The sequence below is a fragment of the Homo sapiens genome, chromosome 8, assembly GCF_000001405.40.
Source record: "Homo sapiens chromosome 8, GRCh38.p14 Primary Assembly".
NCBI lineage: Eukaryota > Metazoa > Chordata > Mammalia > Primates > Hominidae > Homo > Homo sapiens.
The window spans coordinates 72,220,238-72,240,214 of NC_000008.11; the positions used below are offsets into that span (position 1 = coordinate 72,220,238).

General features: G+C 35.3%; 1 pseudogene across 1 annotated transcript in view; it reads right to left on the reverse strand.

Moving 5' to 3' along the window:
• Positions 1-19,977, reverse strand: part of TRPA2P (transient receptor potential cation channel subfamily A member 2, pseudogene) — a 48,883-nt pseudogene that overhangs the window by 17,486 nt on the left and 11,420 nt on the right. The window contains exons 5-12 of the transcript NR_033867.2: positions 18,160-18,268; positions 17,819-17,964; positions 13,751-13,799; positions 10,060-10,229; positions 9,810-9,974; positions 7,893-8,005; positions 6,723-6,890; positions 5,043-5,136 (exon numbers count right to left, since the gene is read on the reverse strand). The product of NR_033867.2 is annotated as a transient receptor potential cation channel subfamily A member 2, pseudogene (transcript). The remainder of the gene's footprint in view (positions 1-5,042; positions 5,137-6,722; positions 6,891-7,892; positions 8,006-9,809; positions 9,975-10,059; positions 10,230-13,750; positions 13,800-17,818; positions 17,965-18,159; positions 18,269-19,977) is intronic.

Sequence of the window (19,977 nt, forward strand, 5' to 3'; positions counted from 1 at the left end):
TGACTACTGCCATGGTCTGTACGAAAGGCTTCAGGGTAGGGAAATGAACTCATTGAAGGTGAATGAAAATTCCTTATTGGCCTAGAGCAGTGTTGCCCAGTAGAACTTTCTGCAGTGACAAAAATGTCTTCTACCTGTGGTGTTCAATATAAGAGCTGCAAGTCAAATGGCCTACTGAGCACTTGAAATGTATCCAGTGTGACTGAAAAAATTATAAACTTCATTTAATTTTAACTAGTTTTAATTCAGGTAGCCACATGTGACTAATGGCTCCCATATTAGATAGCACGAGTCTAGACAAAAATTTGAAAATCCAGTCCTCAAATCTGTTTTGTTCTGTTTTGTTTTGCATGCACACAATTTTAATTTGTTGTCAATATTTACACAAGTATGGGCTGCTATTGCCACATGGCAATGATTTGTTGAACCTAGTAGCCACTGTCCTTTTAACCAGGAGCTTAAGTTACTCGTCTATTATTGTTTTCTCTGTAGTTATTTCAGTTTGAGACCTTTGATTTAGACTGAAGGGGATCATATGCCTGGTTTTGATTGCTTCATTGGCTAGAAATGTAAAAGTATCTTTGAAATAAGAGCTGCTTTGGAACAAGTTACTTGGGAAGTTCAAGTCCATGGTGTGTGTTCAAAGCCTACTTTAGATTGGGTTCATCCCTCTGGAAGGCACCTCTCCATGGTCAGTTTGTCTTGGAGCCCAGCGGCTCACCGAACTTGAAAGCTGTGACTGTAAAATATCACCCTTTGCATTTTCCTGGGGTTTATACTGGAGGAAACTCTTGAATATGCAGGTGGATAGAGGTGGCAAGCGTTACCTGTGTTCTCCATGGTTTATTTGATTCTGGTTTGGAGCAGGTCTTACGTGAACATTAGAAAAGAAGGGTAGAACTTTCTAGCAATTGAAAAAAATGATTGCTTTCTTTATTAAAAAATAAACAGTTGAGTCACATGGCAGACATGGACATAGAATTATAAAACTGGAATTCTCCCCATCCACCTAATGTGGGACTATTGTATTAAAACATTTTAGAACCCGGCTAGAAACTACCTAGATAATGAAAACACCGAACTTACATTGAGGGCTGCAAAAGGTTTATATGTGATATTCTTTGTAGGTGTTATATTTTCTGTTAATTCTAATGGGCATTGAAGATATCTGAAATTATACTTGATCTGTAGAAAATTTTTACAAAGTAGTTAGTCAGGTACAGAATCCCCAAAATAATTCCTGAAAAATCAAATATACAAGTATACAATTTTGCTAAAAATTAAGTGATTTGAACAAAGTTGAAACATTTCGAGTCGAAAAAAGATATATATTATTGCATATTAATTATAAAAATAAACATCCTGGAAGGCTGTTATTCAATTGCTTCATATCTCACAGTCATGGAAAAAGAGTAATTCTCAAAAGATCATTTAGATATTTTAGATCTTCATTATTAAGGCAAAACTACCCAAGGAAATATAAAGACTAGACATAACACTAAATGATGCTATTAGGAACTGTTAAAATATGAGAGGAAAACTGAGGAGGTAAGGGAAAAATTATTTCACAAGTAGATAATACTATAATATGAAAAAAACGAGACCAGTATTTGCCATCTCCAGTAGATTACACATCGATAGTAACAACATTTTTAATATTTTTCAAAGAACATAAAGAAAGCAAATTTCAAATTATTATGATAAAATAGACTTATGTGGTAGTCTTTGCAGGACTTATACTCTGGGGAAGGCAACATGCAGAAGTCTAAAAGTATCTTTCAAACAGAAAAACCACCTAAGATATTGGGCAGGCCACTATATATTAGAAAGAATTTTATCCCATTTCTAGAATAACACACAAGATATTTCCCTCCCTTTTCTTGGCTTCTTGCATCTCAAGGATAAATTATAATCTATCTCATCCAGGAACAAAGTTTACAATACAAAGTGTTACAAATACATCTGCATGTTTCAGAAATAACCAGGTGATTCAGAAAAATACCATGTGCTTGAGAGTAAAATTGCATGTACTAATATTTGGGTAAGAGATATTCCACTAGTTTTGCCTAAGATTTGATGTCTTTCTGGGCTTCTAAAGGGTATACAGATTACAGGTTGAGCAACCCTAATCTGAAAGTCTAAAATTCTAAGTGCTCCAAAATCCAATACTTTTTGAGCACCCACATGATGCCACAAGTGGAAAATTCCACACATAAGTACTTAACACAAACTTTGTTTCATGCACAAAATTATTAAAAATATTGTATAAAATTAACTGTAGGCTATGCTTTTAAGGATTATATGAAATACAAATGAATTTTGTATCTACACTTTGATCTCATCCTTATGATACCCCATTATATATAGGCCAATATCTTGAAATCCAAAACACGACTGGTCCCAAGCAGTTTGGATAAGGGATAGTCAATCTGTCTGATTCCTTTACTCAGTTTCTTACAGTAACAACTTATTGTCCCTAATTGAGATTTTTCATCCCAGGTCTACAGTCTTTCCATGATTTAGGTTCAGTCTTCTGAATTGCCCCAGTCTGGAGTAATGTGTTTGTTTCTATACCTCATATGCCAAGCAACACAGAGAATGTGTTTAGAGGGGAGCGGACAGGATAGTGGGGGATAGATGCTGTAACAAGAAATAGATGAAGACCCTCTAGATAGTTAACTCAGGGAAAGAACACTTATAGGGTCACACTAGAGCCACCCCTATGGTGTGTGGAAAGGAACTATTTTTGTGGGGCTGCATAAACAATTTGAGACACCTCAAATCTAGTGGCCCATATTTATGACCCTGAGAAAGAAATACCACTTGGCCAGGCTGCCCTCTTAGAACCAGGACTGGACACAATACCCCATATGTTGCCATCAATGCATCCAGGAGCTCCTGGGGCTTCTGGTGAATGTCACCTGCAGAACTTGAGGGTAGATGGTCAGACTATATCCAAAAGGGAAGAAACAGGACCCTGGGTGGTGTCAGGTACCAACGGGACTAAGAAAACTTCAAGGAAGATTCTATTGGTGACTGGATGTCAGTACTGGGGATCACAACAAACATTATGAAAAATAAAGACAAGACTAGTCAGTAGTGCTGTTCAAGGCAGAAACAGGCAAGTCTGGTTATTTATTATAGCTTGTAAACTTGTTAATAATCAACATGGGCAAAATAAAGGATGGGCTGCCTTGGCTGGGGGCTGGGCAGATTGCAGGAGCAACTTTTCAGAAATGTTGTGTAAGTAATTCAAATGTGTTATGTTGAGCTAAATTAAGACATTTAAGTTCATTAATTTTGTTAAAAAGTATTCAAAATACCAAAATAATACAAGTCATCATAGAAAATTATCTAGAAAATATAGTAGCTTAAGGAAGAAATTAAAAACTATTCATAATCGCATAACAGACCATTTTTATTAACATTGTGGTATAATTTCAATTCTTTACTATGTTTTCACATGTGAATATTTCACCTTTTTTATAATTATAAATGATGCTGCAGGAAACATTCTATATAAATCTGTCTGTATCTCTGATTATTCATTAAGACAGATTTCAACAACTATAATCACTGAATAAGAAAGTTTGAGATTGTTTCAACCTTGAGTATTTATGTGTCCTTCGATGAGATTCAGCCACCTAACAAGATAATCTGTACACTATTTGTACTAGTACATATGTACTAGACTGGCTCCAGTTTTTATTAGGCATTATAAAGAAAAAAATGCACACAATGTTTAGCACATAGTAAGTCCTTATTCAATAAATAAAAACAAAATACTAGTACTACAAATAACCACATAAGCAGTATAAAACAGTAGGAGGTAAATTTTATGTACTGACCATTGCCCTTAGCATTTTATATATTTTACCCCTACTTTTGTAATCACTTTGTAAACTCAGCATCAGCATCATTGTTTTAGACATAAATAAAACAGAAAATAAATTCTGAGGTGAAATGACTTATCTAAAGCAGTATAGCAAGAGACAGCACCAGAATTAGATCCCATGGCCTCCAGAAGGCTCCAAATCTGGGCTTTTATTCCCTCTGTCACTATATCTTACTGCCTCCCCCAGCATTTGAATATATTTTTCCCTTTGCATGAAATCTGAAGTGATTCTGATTTTCTGTCTGTCCCAACCCTCAAATCCCAACTTTCCTAGATCTTTTATTTGCATCCTTTAATACTCATCTGCTCAACAGTTTGTGCATATTTGTCTTGTATGGAGTGTCAGGTCATATGCGGGGTGTGTATTTAATGTAGCATAGAGAGTTACATGCTTAAAAACCCACAGAGGCCAGGCACGTCATGCAAATAAAGGAACAATGCCAAATGTAAGAGCTTTTTCCCATTGTTCTTGAGATATTGGCTATCCTAGGGCAAGCTTTCATCTTTACAGTTAGGATAGAGCCATAATTCAATACTTCTGTACTCTAAGGAAAGCAATTGCACAAAAACGGCTATATGTGACAACTAACACCGGGCACTAGGCCCAATGTACAAAAGGGAGAACTGGGGTGTTTCAAATAGGAGAGTGATTGCCACATCCATGGGAAGCATCTGGTGCTGAACCCAGTAATTCCTGCCTTGTGAGAAGGCAGGCTTAGGTGCCAAATTTCATTCTTATGAGAAGCCAGATAACTGGAACCTTAAGGAAAGCATCCTGGTTTCAAATGTTAGCAATTCATGTAAATTTGAAAGAGCAATAACATGCATGCCAAACAAAACACATATTAAGGTTTTATTCAGCCAGCAAACACCAGTTTATAGTCTCTGTTACAGGTGTGGATTGTTTGAATAAAAAAATCTGTTTACCATATTATCCTGTATTACACAAAATAATTAATAGGATTCTTTAATTCAAGAAGGTCCTCATTAAATACTTATTGTCTAAATTCCCTTATAGCCTATGGGAAACTACAAGCTTTATTTCATGATGGAAATTATTATTACTAGATTGTGATGACAACAATAAATCCTCACATCATATATGCCAAACATAAACCCAGGAAGAGTTTTGTTTTAGAGAGCTTACCTTCATGCATTCAGGGAGGTATTCGATCATTTCCAAAATTGGACATTTATTGTTTGGAGAATAATGACTAAAAACCTTAAGACATTCATCCCATCTGTAAAAAATGAATACATAAGACAAGCACAGGTCTTCAACCTTCTGTTCTGCACAACAGTTGAAACTCAAGATTATATCTTTAGGAGAAATCTAAACTTAAGCTTATTCATGAAATGCAATGCTTGCCCTTAGTTCTGATGGAAGCAATATGTAAACCGAGATCAACCCAGTAATAGGATCCTTGTCTGTTAATAGGCATTAGGAATATGGGCAAATTTTGGGATAGCTGTTACAATTATTGTTCTGTCTCTTCTTCTAAATGTCTTTCAAAGAAGCTGGGACTATATCTTCTTTCTCTCCTGAAGTCATAAAATAGGAAGTACTTACAGTCCTAATCATGTTCGGTACAGATTCCACATTCACATACCTACACCATCAAAGCAGTACTGGACCAATATTTAATAGCTAATTCATGAATTAAACTACAAATTAACACATGTAAAGTGCATTGATAAGCACAGCCTCTGCAAAGAAAAATTTGCCCCTTTTCTTCATTATCATCCAATTGAACAGGGTAAGAAGGTGCTTACCATACCAAGGAGGAACTAAATCTACAGCAGGATGCAAAGAGGAGCTCTTTTATCTCCAATATCCTATCTAATTTTCTATTAACTCTATCAGTAAAACCCATCTAGTATATCTGTATTATCGACAGAAAAGTTCTGGTTGAACACTTTCATTAAAAAGTGCTTTAAAAAGGAACTATCAGCAGGAGATTTTTGAGGCTGTCCATGCTCAAAAACAAGGGCTTGATCTGCCTTGAATATGGAATTGTTCATTCTGTGTCTACTATTGGGTGACACTGGTCCCTAATGCATGTCTATCTGTGATTATACAGAAAGTGATATTATGAGATATTATGAGAAATTAGACAAAGTACCCTCTAACTTCATAATTAAAACTCTTAGAACATGGATTAGAAACCCACAACCACAAAAGATTATTTGCTAAAAGATATCCCATTAAAGGGCATGGATAACAATCTGAATTTACCTTGGGTAATATTTTTGCCAGCATCCACTTTCAGGGTTTCTACTGGCACATGTCAGGCAAGTTCAGGGAGGGCAGTGTGAAGTTTGCTTGACAGTGACATGGTGCCAGACAATACACATGCCTGAATCCCTGGAATCTCGTAAGAGTGCTGCGAAGCTTGGTCTTAATGTGCCCATATTTTATTTTGTTAAGAAATATAAACTGAAGATCGGCGAGGTAAAGTAATGTGCCTGTTGTCACTAAGAAAAATCATTTAAAAATTCTGTAAACATTTAAAAATAACTAAAGGAGTATAATGGGATTGCTTGTAACACAAAGAATAAATGCTTGAGAGTATGGATACCCCATTCTCCTTGAAATGATTATTATGCATTGCACACCTGTATCAAAACATCTCATGTACCTGATAAACATATACACTTACTATGTACCCACACAAATTAAAAATAAAAGACTTCTTAAAAATTTAGGTAAACAACTGATATTTTAAAATTGTGATTAATGGCTGAAACTCATTTCTTTTCTCTCAGACTTCGAATCATCCCTGACACCAGAGAACACTAAATGACAGTGGACAGGCAGACAGTGTACCTTTTGCTCCTGATGGTCATAAGAACCACCTCCTTCTTCTTATTGTGAAGTGCAAGGTGCAAAAAGGAGGCCTGCCTGCTCCTTGTTCAGGACTATGTCAGCATTGTGGCTCAGAAGTGCAAAGGCTTTGGCATGGCCTTCCCTTGCAGCAAAGTGAAGTGCAGTGTTCTTTTGAAGAAACGGACACAGAAAATGTGGTGACAATGCCTAATCTGCTTTGTTTCATGGCTGAACTGCCTAAAAGACATTTGCAACACTAATGATTTAATACCAAAATACATAGCATTTAAAACTGGTGTTCAAGCTTCAAACTAATGAGTTTATAGTTCAAACATGGTGTGAGTGTGCATGTGTGGGAAGTGGGTCTGTTTGTGTATGTGTGGGAAGTGGATCTGTGTGTGTGTGTGTGTGTGTGTGTGTGTGTGAGAGAGAGAGAAACAGAGAGAGAGAGAAAAAAAAACAGAGAGAATGAATTCCAAGGGGGTTGTTTTGTGCTGCTTTTGCAATGGGATGATTCCACAAGGACAGAGGACCAGCTATCAGGGTACGGATGTTGGGTTGAACACAGAAGAAAATACTCCTGAGATTTATCATCTTGTAGAGCAGTGGCTTACAAATTTGGGGTTTCCCAAGCTTGTAAACTTTTTTAAAATTCAGAGACTGTTATAAGGTTGCCAGTTTTTAGTTTCCCCACATGAAGACTATTTTTTTGAAAAAGGCAACAATTGTCCATCTCCATCATTTTATGAACAAATGTACATTTCAATAGTTACTCTCCCCAAAAGAAGGAATGACATAATAGCACAATAAAGGGCAGTCCTTCAAGTCAATATACTTCAAAATAAAGCACTTATTTTAGTGAAAACTTACACCTTCCTTTATTTTTCTGAGTCTACCAGGGAGTAAAAGCTTTATCATCAACTCACAATGGCCTGTGGACCAACCTCTGTGAGTCTAGTGGTTTCCTAAACATTCATCCACCCCTTGGTATTCTCCCATTTCTGTTGCCTTTTGACTCATACTTCACCTCAAGAGTCTGCTTGCTAAACACCCAAAAAGGCTGGGAAAGGAGCAAGGAAGGGAAGAAGGTATCTAGGAGGGTTTTCTGGCAATGCTGGAAGTTTCTGGTATGTCGAGATTTTGGGTAAGTGTGAGGACCATGGTACATACCCCGTCTTCATCTATGTGATCTGTGCACTTCAAATTACTATCAAGAATGACCTTCATGGTCTGAGTGTACCCTTATGGATGCATGATGCAAAACCATCTAGCCATTGTGGTCACTGATAAAGAGTTAAGAAAAGATGTGTGCATACACTTAACAGATGAAATTTGGGATGGGATGCCACTTGGCTCTTTCTAGGTAAATCTGATGACAACAAAAAGTATAATGAGGTCTGGCAACTAAATATTTATGAAATATTTATAATGAATGAGTGAATTTCAAGCTCAATGATCGTAAATAATCTATTTGTAATGTGATTCACTCATATTTTTTATTTAGTGGATTAAGATATGAAAGTATATAAACACATTACCAAACACTTCGGGGTAGGAGAAGTACACTTAGTGTGTGTGTATCATGCATAATTTTTTCAAAGCTATAATGAACTTATACACATTAACTTAAATCATGTTTTATTTTTTCATTGAACATTGCATCCAAAAAAATTTTTTGAAGTGGTGTTAGTCTTTGTGATCAATAGTTATTAGTAATACTACTAATAATATAGTACATGGCTATAAGATATTTAGCTTAGCGTCACTTATTATTCTAAGAGTTCAAGTCTGAAACACTTTCCTCTTGTGCTCTCAAAGATGCTTACCCAATCACTTTGAAAACTGCTAATTCTTTTTCACAGAAATTTGAGGTGTAAATATAATGAAGCCTTGTCATATTGCTAATACTTTTTGAAACTAAACATAGAAAATATTTCCTGACACAATTTAATTTCAGTGCTAGTGAACAGATGTTTTAGGGTATAACAGCCATTCCAGTTATGATGTAATTAAGCAACAACTGTCTGGTCTGGTTCTACTTGGGTCCCCTTTGTAAGTCAGTTGCTTGGCATTTCCTTGTAAACCAGAAGAAACTGAGCAAAGCATTCATTTTTGCAGCTATATCACTTAATTTGCTGGCATCAATATTCTGTTAAGAAAATGTGTTTCTAAACAGCCTAATAAGCTCTTTGCTACTGCTTTGATGAAATACCAAATGAAATACCTCTGTAAAATATTCCTAGGTTTTTTTCTTTTTTTTTTAACAACAATATCATTTACCTATGCCACATATTTTATTATGCTTACATATTTTAACTTGGTTTTGTTTCTTGTGCTTGAGTTCCTTTAGGTATAATGAAGTTCAGAAATTTTTACTGTCTCCCGTTGTCACTCAAGGGGAGCTTTTTATGTCTACCATTCATCAGACTGAAGAAAAAGTAGCATATTTGAACTTGTATGTTTGTGTGTGCGTGTGTACATGCACACATACACATACACAACCATGGTTTTGTATCTACATAGGAAAATGGCAGCATGATGAGCTAAAATATGAGAAACTGTATTTCAAAGATTCTGAAAAAGACTCTGCACAAAGCCACTTATTCTGTGACCTTGAACAAGGTTCTTCAAGTCTATAAACTTCAAAATCTTTGTCAGTTGGAAATATACTGACTTCCCTTCCAGCATTTTTTTTTTTTTTTTTTTGAGACGGATTCAAACGATTCTCCTTCCTCAGCCTCCTGAGTAGCTGGGATTACAGGCATGCACCACCAAGCTCAGCTAATTTTGTTTTTGTATTTTTAGTAGAGATGGGGTTTCTCCATGTTGGTCAGGCTAGTCTCGAACTCCCGACCTCAGGTGATCCACCCGCCTCGGCCTCCCAAAGTGCTGGGATTATAGGCTTGAGCCACCGCGCCCGGCCCCCTTCCAGTATTTAAGAAGTTACGTGTTGATGATAAAATAAAATGTATAAAACTACTTAGTGAAATATAAAGTTAGACAACATAATTAAAAATATAATGAAAAGATAGCCTGAAAATGGCTAATTAAAGAAACTATATAAACACCCCAATCATATATCCTCACCTGAGAAACAATGCACCTTTTTTCAGAAGAAGCTGAACTACTTTATCATGTCCATTCTTTGCTGCCAGATGGAGAGGAGTCATTCCATGAAGGTCCCCTTCATTCAGAAGCCTCGTATCACTTATGTCTTGTAGGAGCCTCTGACAGGTATTGATACGCCCATAACTTGGAAAAAATTAGGTTTCATATTTTCAAGGCAAATATTAAACAGAAAGAAGACAGGTTCATACAATGCTAGACTGACCCTTACCTGGCTGCAAAATGCAGAGGTGATTTCTTATCTTTGCTTTTGGAATGAATGGACACATTAAAGCCAAGTAGGTTATTTACAGAACCAGGGCCCCCCTGTCTACATGCATAATGTAGAGGAGTACACCCATCGTTGTCTTCATCCATTACCAGCTCTTTGATCTGTTGCATCTACAGGAAAAAATTAATATCATACAAATAACTCTGCTGTTATGCTAAAATGATGGTTTCCAAACTATTCTGTAGGAAAATATTTTCCAACAAGGGTCAATATGTATTCCTTGGGGCCAAAATTGTAAATAACCTAAAGGATTTGAGAGTAAAATAAATATGAATGAAGTTGAATGCTCTGTCTTCATGTAATGTACATTACCATATTAAAGGCTCTGAGAGATCCTGCAAGTGGGAAAATATTAAATAATAAATTTAATATTATTTAATATAAATAATAATAAAAACTTAACATTTTTAACTCAGTATTTTTCAAATATATTTGATCACAGCCCTTCCTTCTGCTCCTCCTCTCACTTCCTCCCGCTCCTAAGTAACACCTAACAGCTTTATGTTAATAAGTTCTGTTAGGTAAAATGGAAGGGATGTTAAAATTAGGTTTACTTTATCTTTTATATGTATAGTAAATTAAAAATGAATGACAAATGAGTAGCTTAGTCCAATCAATTATCATTTTGCTATTTTTGCTGAAATTTTTCAAATACATATATATTCTTGATTCTTTATTAAAGACAGTGACAATATTGAATTCTATTTACTAAAAAATATGTTGTATTTCACATGCACTTGATAGTCACTCAGTATTAGCTGGTGAATATAAATATGAAAATAATGCTTTTAACTTGTCCTCAGCAAGTCAAGTGTGCTGAGTAGTTTTTCTTAATTGATGGTGGAGTATTGATAATTCATACCCATAGTTGGCTTTTCCACTGATATACAAATCCTAATGATCAAAGAATGAAGAAAATGAAACTAATTAAGGATGTATACTTATCATACATGATAGCATATGAAATCCTTCTGTAACTTAAAAAACTCAATCTCAATACAATTAATTATCATCATCATCATCATCACTACCACCATCACCCTGTTATAACTATTCAAACATGTCATCTTTATTTTAAAACACTGTTAAAATTCCAGAATCAGCTTTGATAATAATAAAAATTATAATAAACAAAATTAGTTTATCCTCTGTTGAACCGAACTTAGTTAATGGAAATCCATAGATATATATGACCTGCAAAAACTCAGGTTGCAGATTTTTTAATCCATAAAGTTGCTGTACAGTTAAATGCAGAAAATTACGTCCAAAATTACCTTTAATGTCTACTTGGGCACCTAAAAAAAGCACAATGTAAATATAAATTCTATTCACTTATTTAATGCATCCTTTATGTGGATTTTCAACTTGCAAAAAAATTTTGACTTAAAATTTTGCTGACTTTTAGTTTACAGGAAATGTTTAGATGAGAAAACTAAGCATAATTAAAAATGGGCTTACTACCTGTGTGTGTGTGTGTGTGTGTGTGTGTGTGTCTGTGTGTGTCTGTATGTGTAAGTGGGGTAGAAAATATGTGATGCATTACATAAATACATGAGGCCTTACCTTTCAGAGCATAAAATATAAAAATATAAATATAGACACATTAGAGATCAAGAAAGAAGAGGATAGCAGAGAAGGACACCTCACTTCTTTCTTTTCAGAGGCCCAGGTTAGAATCGAAAACAGGGATAGTTATAGTACCTACACCACATGGGACCGATACATTGAAAGACAGTTGATTAATTGTTCAATAAATGCCTGGGGTATAACAATTGCTTTATAAATGTTATCTACTATTGTTCTGAAATTATCTTTTTAAGCATTGCTCCCTTACTGGACTGAAAATTATTCTAGACATGAAAAGTGTTCTGTTTATCTTTGTATTCACAGCACCTGGCCCAGGGCCTGGCACACAATAGATGGTTAATAAATGTTCATCTAACCAAATTGAGTAATACTTCCCAAGACTTGGCTTGGTCCCTCTTGGTAGCTTTAGAGAGTAGCAAATTTACAATATTCTAAGATGCAGAAGCAGTTGCTAAGTGGAGAGCATCCTACAGAATCAATGCTATTAATATCTGCTCCCTAAAAATCAAGCCATTCAACAAGGAGCTTACAAACAGATAAATCAGCATACATTGCAATCTCTAAATAAGGTTAATTTATTGATACAGAGTGTCTATATTATGGCTAGCACTAAAGTATATGACTAATTATAGAACCATTTGAAATTTCTCCATAATTCATATGTTGTATCATCAGAAATCAAGGCATTCTTTAATAATTTCAGTAAGAAATTATTCTCACATGTTAGGCTTTATACTGACACCCGGCAATAGCTCTAGTTGCTACATAAACCATAAAAATGATATCCTTTTACCTAGACCAATAGTTTAGTATCCACTGTAAGAAATAATTTTTAAATGACTATAATTATAATTTTTAAATGACTATAATTATAATTTTTAAATGACTATAAGTCTTCCAAATTTATTACATCTATGACTTAAGAAAAATTCATAAAAAAATTCCCTTTATAAAAAATCCTATTTTATCTGAAATAGATGAACTGAAATAATTAAATTTACATCACTCAAATCCTAAAATAAAATTTTAGTCAAACATTTATTTGAGAAAATTTATGTTTAAAAATCACATTAAACCTATATTGTTAAAATGAATGTCAATGTTAACCATTATGTATTATAATATTTGATATGACAAGAAATCAAAGCCCTTTTAAAATTCCATGGAAAGAATTCTATACCTTACACAGAGTAATAAAAAATATTAATAGCTTAAACTCCAAATGTGGATATTTTCATGTTCTTTTGAGACCCACTGAATATAAATGACAATGGGGGCAGCATCCCCTTGGCAAGCTCCATGGTGGTCAGTGAGGCCACATTTCTCTTGCCTGGCGAAGAGATGGCAGCCTTTGCAGGAAACCGTGTGACAATTTCAATAGTTGTTATTGACAACACAAAATGTTCAATACTACCAACGGAAATCCGTCATTGCTGATATGGTGCCACTTAAATAAATTCACCACACTTTGATCTCTATAACGGGCTTATTAAAGTTCAACTCAAAAGCTGACTGATTCCACTTCTTAGAGTGAAAAAGATCTCAGGCTTCATGCTTTCTCTTGTAGTAAACCTTTGACAATATTTTTTGGCTCCTCAGTTTTTCATTGTTTGTAAAGGTGGCACTGAGGCAGCTGGGGTAGGAGCTTCCCCCAGTGCTGCCTGTCCTGCTTCCACCTCAAAGCAATCAGGGCTGAAGAAGGATCACCACCCAAGATCACACTCCCCTAGGACCCTCTAACATGCCATGGGAACAGCTTTCCTTGCAATGTACCTGCCAACTTCCTGCACTAAAAACACTGACATGGATATCCAAAAGCACGCTTTGACACTTCTAAGTTCACAGTAATGTTTGGCCATTACATATTCATGTACAATATACTCTGCTTCCAAGTGTGTCGATCATCCTTTTGTACACATCACATTTTTTGCTGATAAGCAATAAATTAAAATTTGATTTATTTTTGAAAATCCCTATTATGTAATCATATGATTTTTTCAACTATAAATAGTAACAAAAATAAACCAGTAAATGGAATACTTACCACTGAAATTAAACAGTCTGCCAGGTCACAGTGATCAAATAATGAAGCTCTGAAAAAACAGAATTATAAACATTATAATTAAAGTACTACTTATGTAAATACAAATGTATTTAATAAAGCTACTATATTCAGAAAGTGAATTTAGCTAATCATAGAATAACATGATAGAATGTTAAAGAATTAGTAAGCTTTCAAAATTTATAATTTGATTCTGATAAGGGTAGCATTTTCAAAGTAATAATAATAGGAAAACACCAAATACATCACAATATTTTCTTCCTTATCCTTTAGGAAACTGTTTTCTCCTGTAAAATCACCATGAAGATATTCTGAAGTGAGTAGTAACATCTGTCCCAAGATAGAAGAGACAAAGAAATCGCTGGTACTGCTGTGATCATGGGGAATAACAATAGCTACACGCAAAGTATGTCTCAAATTCACCTGCGGGGTTCAAAAAGTCCCTCTTTGGGAGACTCCTCTTTGGCAAAAGTTAAATGGCAGTGTTAACTTGAGTTTTTTATGAAGCCAAAAATAATTATGGAGAGGATAGAAAACATTTTGGTATCATCTCACAGCCAGTCATAAGGATAATGTTAATTTAAAAAGCAAGTAAAAGTTTTCAATCTATATTAAAGCGCCTCCTTAAGACATGTTAACAATTTCTTTTTTTTTTTTTTTTGAGACGGAGTCTCATTCTGTCGCCACTTGAGACGGAGTCTCGCTCTGTCGCCCAGGTGGAGTGCAGTGAGTGGCGCGATCTGGGCTCAATGCAAGCTCCGCCTCCCGGGTTCACGCCATTCTCCTGCCTCAGCCTCCAGAGTAGCTGGGACTACAGGCACCCGCCACCATGCCTTGCTAACTTTTTTTTTTTTTTTTTTTTGTATCTTTAGCAGAGACGGGGTTTCACAGTGTTAGCCAGGATGGTCTTGATCTCCTGACCTCGTGATCCACCCGCCTTGGCCTCCCAAAGTGCTGAGATTAGCAAATCTCATTTCTTTCTTTCAAGATTGTCTCAAGTATTCTTGGCCTTTTATATATAAATTTCAGAATCAGTTTGCTAATTTTCACCCAAAATATGACAAGATGTTGCATTATATTTAAAACATATTAGTTATATTTAGTAATTTTAGGGAATAAATTATAACATTAAGTACCCATCTACCTAAGATAATTTCATCTCATGCATATTAATATATTAAGGCTGTTTTCTAAAGATACACTTCAACGGTAACCAAATCATTGGGTTTCTAAATTAGCGACACATTCAAATCAAAGAGTTTTTTTTTTTTAAATTCCTGCCACTCATCCCAGAGATTTTATATATTAAAGGGTATTAATTGGTACTGGGATTTTAGGAGCTACCCACATGATTCCAATCTGCAACAGTTTGAGAATCTCTGGTCTAGAGGTTAGTCTATTGAGTTTTAATTTTATTTCAATGGCTCCTTTTTAACTTTTTTATTTTACTGTATCATTTTCATATCACCAATCCTAGATTCATATATGACAACCTGTTTTTACAATTCTATGTTGTCTTCATATACTTACTTTTACATAACTTATTACCCTTCCTTTAAATTTTTTAAGGTCTCAAATATCTTTATTTCAAAATTATTTTCAGATTCCCCTGTTATATTTTCTTGGAAATAAATTGGCTTTTTGTTGACTTTTTTTTAAAATAAGTTTTCTTTTATGCTATACAATTTTAGTTTGCAAATTCATCCGAAGTGGGAGTTCCTTTCTCTTCACACATATCCTATCATGGCTGGTGGTTTTGCAAATGTGTACATTCATTAGAAACAGATCTTATATTGGTAGCTAGAGATTCTTTTTTTCTTTTTTCTTTTTTTTTTTTTTTGAGGCGGAGTCTTGCTCTGTCGCCCAGGCTGGAGTGCAGTGGCACCATCTTGGCTCACTGCAAGCCCCGCCTCCTGGGTTCACGCCATTCTCCTGCCTCAGCCTCCGGAGTAGTTAGGACTATAGGCGCCCGCCATCATGCCCAGCTAATTTTTTGTATTTTTAGTAGAGACAGGGTTTCACCGTGTTGGCCAGGATGGTCTCGATCTCCTGACCTCGTGATCTGCTTTTTTTCTAAGAGATATTTAGATAGATAGATTTCCAGGTCTGGTTACCTATTGAAAATATATCGGCTACTCTGACTCTGTGTGTGTGTGTGTGTGTGTGTGTGTGTGTGTGTCTGTGTGTGTGTCTGTGTGTCTGTGTGTGTGTGTAAGAGACTGAGAGACTGAAGGCTCAACTCAGACAACTCTTTCACTCACATGGGGAGCATTTGGTACTTGTCTTTCCACAAGAATTGAATTTCCGATATACACTGCTTGTTTCCTATCCTAGCACCTAGTAAGCCTACAGTTTAATACATTTTCCCTGATGTGTATTTCTGTCAAACTTCATAGAAATTTTTTAGCGTTTTTGGCAACTTGGTTATAATTTCCTAAAACTTTATCTTTTGAAACCATTTATGTATAATTGGGGGATTAGCAAAAGGGATTATGGTGGGAAAAGTAAAATATCCATACGTATCTGCTCCATTATTGTCATTAAAAATGGGGATAAAATAAATATGAGAAATTGGAACAAATTAGAAAAGGCTTGGAAGACCTTGTATGTAGACTTCTTTAGCATATAGAAAATTAATCTTGATCCTATATCCACTGGACTTGATTCAGAATATGCCACAGGAGATTTTATTCTGTGAAATTTCTTTAACATTATACTCCCATTCCCCAGGAACACAAGCAATTCCAGTTGATACACAGGGTCTTTGCTATTTTGTTCTTTTCTTTTAAACTACATAATCTTTGCTTCCATTAGTACTAACTGCTCTTTGCAATTTCTAATTTAACATGTGAAGACTAAAAGTCTGTATACAGAATGATAGGTAGAAAACTTGCCTGTGAAGCACAGTCTGATGACTTCATCAGCTGCATTAACAATATCTATGCCACCAGAATAGGACGATATCGATAATTTAATAATCTCAGTCTCTCCATGCAGCAAAGTGAAGGGCTGTGCACTTTGCCTTCTGTAAAGGGTTTTAATACTAGAATCAATATTTAAATCCAAATTTAAGAATGTAACTTATATTCATCTGTGAGTTTTTTTGTCCCAGGTCAATAAAATCAAGGAATATCAATTACATTTCAGATGATTAATGGTGATCAGATGAAACTGATCACCATTAATCATCTGAAATGCAATAGATATTCCTTGATTTTACGGACCTACAAAGAAGAGCATCCATACAAAATTTGTAGCTGACAAGTGTGCTTCTTTCTAATAAAACAACTCCTGGCATATACTTCCACCATCATCGTCTGGGTAACATTCTTTCCCCCAGGAACATGAGAACGACGTCTCATTCATTGCTGTAAGCACTCAGCGTAGGAAGTGACTTCAGAATCCGTACCAAGAGTGGCAGCTCTTATTTCTATATTGAAGGGACTTAGGATTAGTGTCCAGAAGACACATGAAATTAATAACCAATCTTCTCTTCCTCCAGAAAGCACAGGCCTTTGCAGTACCTTGGAGGGGAGCTTGTTGCCACCCAAAACCCAGATGTTGAAGGGAAAAGGGCCCAAACTCTACACTTTTGGTCAGAGATGCCTGCCATAAGGTCAGATCCCAAACACAGTCAGCATTTTCACAAACATATTTTTAGAAATTAGTTAAGTGGTCCTTAGTTTTAAAAATGATAACTCTTCCGAATAGAACTAAAGCCAAAGACATTCATGATTGGGCTTTAATGTTCCTAGCTGAACATTATCATCTTCTGAGGGTAGGCCTTAACTGTGTAACGGCAATTGAACTAGATATCGTCTTTGTTCTGTCTGTATTTGTGTCTGCAATTGTTTTAGGGAGGTCTCAAAATTCTTTACATAGACTGAAACTTGGGGTATCCCCTTGTTCTGCTTCTGCAGAAGCAGAAGGAAATAATATCTATTTCTTGTGTGTATTTCAATGTAAATTAACCATAAAAGAGCTATAAAGCATTTTATATGCTTTTGACAACTCTAAGATGAAAGTGTCATATAAAATACGAAGAGTTACCTCCACTAGGTCTATTTGTACACCATTGTCCAGGCACATTTTCATCATTTCCAAGTCACCATTTTGCACAGCCAGATGGAGAGGGCTGGCTTTCCCGTTATCCACAAAGTTGATGTGACACTGTCTGCTGTACCCGTGCTCTTCACCTTTAGAAGAAAATAGCATTCAACTTAACAAATATATAAAATGAATAATAGGGAGGGTTTTTTATTTTTTTAAAAAAGGAAGGGCACTGAGACACATACAAGCCTGTGGTAAATTTGGTTAAACATTTTTCAAAGTAATAGCACCCACCAGAGTAGACTTATTTATAGTGTATATATGGAAAAACCTCTACTCACCAAACTTCAATATTATTTCCATGCATTCTTTGGAACCTGAAAGTACAGCCTGATGAATAGGAAAACATCCAAATGTATTTGATTTGCATGGCTTAGCTCCTTTGTGAAGCTGGAAGAAAAGACAAAACTAAAAATGACACCAGTTAAACGTCAAATCACAAATTACATTGTATGTCTATGTAAAAGTACATAGAGAGCTTCATATATTATAAAATCTAAGCATGAAAGTAATTTTGAGCTAAGCAAAGATTCTGAAATAGGGACATTTTATATCTTCCAAAGAAGTAACAATGTAGACACAAAAATATAAATTTTGATACCCCAGCAAACTAAAGTCAACATATTTTTCAATGGAATTAATAAAATTTTTAAAGACACTATCATGACTTCTATACCCATTTTCAATTTCTTATGCGAATAAAATGACAATATTTCCCAGATGATTTTCCTTCTGTTTATGTAAAATTAATAAATGAATATGCCAGCACTCTTGTTAAGCCATGAAAATCAAGTATTTTCACTAATGATAGTTCTTCACTAAAAAGGTGTTAGAAGAACTAAGTGTTATATTACGTTGATAATCTGAGCCAATCATTTTAAACTGCCATTTTCTATAGATCATTAACCTTCAGTTTTGTTTTAAGTACTTTTAATTATCTCAAAAGAAAATATTTTGAGTAAACAGAAATGTGTGTAGAACCAAATACCACCTGTAATCTCAGCTTTTAGAGATAGTATTAGTTTAGTTTCTATAATATATATAATAGCCCAGAAATATATATGTATAATATAGTCCAGAAATGAAAGATGTACTTTATAAAATCATATTATTAAAGAATATTGTTGGCCGGGCACGTTGGCTCCTGCCTGTAATCCCAGCACTTTGGGGGGCTGAGGCGAGTGGATCACCTGAGGTCAGGAGTTCGAGACCAGCCTGGCCAACATGGCGAAACCCCATCTCTACTAAAAATACAAAAATTTGTGGTGGTATGCTCCTGTAGTCCCAGCTACTCGGGAGGCTAAAGCAGGAGAATCGCTTGAACCCGGGAGGTGGAGGTTGCAGTGAGCCGAGATGTGCCACTGCATTCCAGCCTGGGTGACAAGAGTGAGACTCCATCTCAGAAAAAAACAATAATAATAATAACAAGAAGAATATTGTTAAGTAAAATTTTTTTGAACAATATTGTCATACAGTATACACATAAAAATTAAATTGGCAAGGAAATCAGACTTTAAAAATACGTTGTTTTCTGTAGGACTTTTAACTTTACTATTTCTTTATACCGATTTTCCTTTGGTTAATTTAAGGTTCTTTTCCTAAATTCTTGGTTTGAGTGTTAGTTAATTTATTTTTATTCTCTTTATCATTTATTCTCTTTTCGGTCCAATCATGAGAGCTTAGAGTATTTACCTGTCTCTAAGTACATCTAGTAAAGGTGCTAAAACATACATGTATGGTACATTTAAACATTAGGCAAATATTTTTAAATTGTTTTATTTCATTTTCTTACTCTCTGGGATGGTAAAGAGGCAAAATCTTGTGGTAAAAATAAAGATCCTGGTCTGGATAACATGCAAGTGATTAAGGAATATTTGAAACAAGGCTATTTGCTGGGACTGTAACAGCACACTCAGATGGATCACTGCCAGAATCAGGAGGAAGTCATGTAGACAAGCATCTCCATCCCCTCACTGGACCACGTCAGGAAGCCTCGCCAGAGACAAAGCTGGCTCTGCTCTCAGGCATGTGGCTAACAACCTTTGTCATTTCATCACTCAGGGCACTGTTTTTGGGAACACGTGGCAATAATTTCTTCA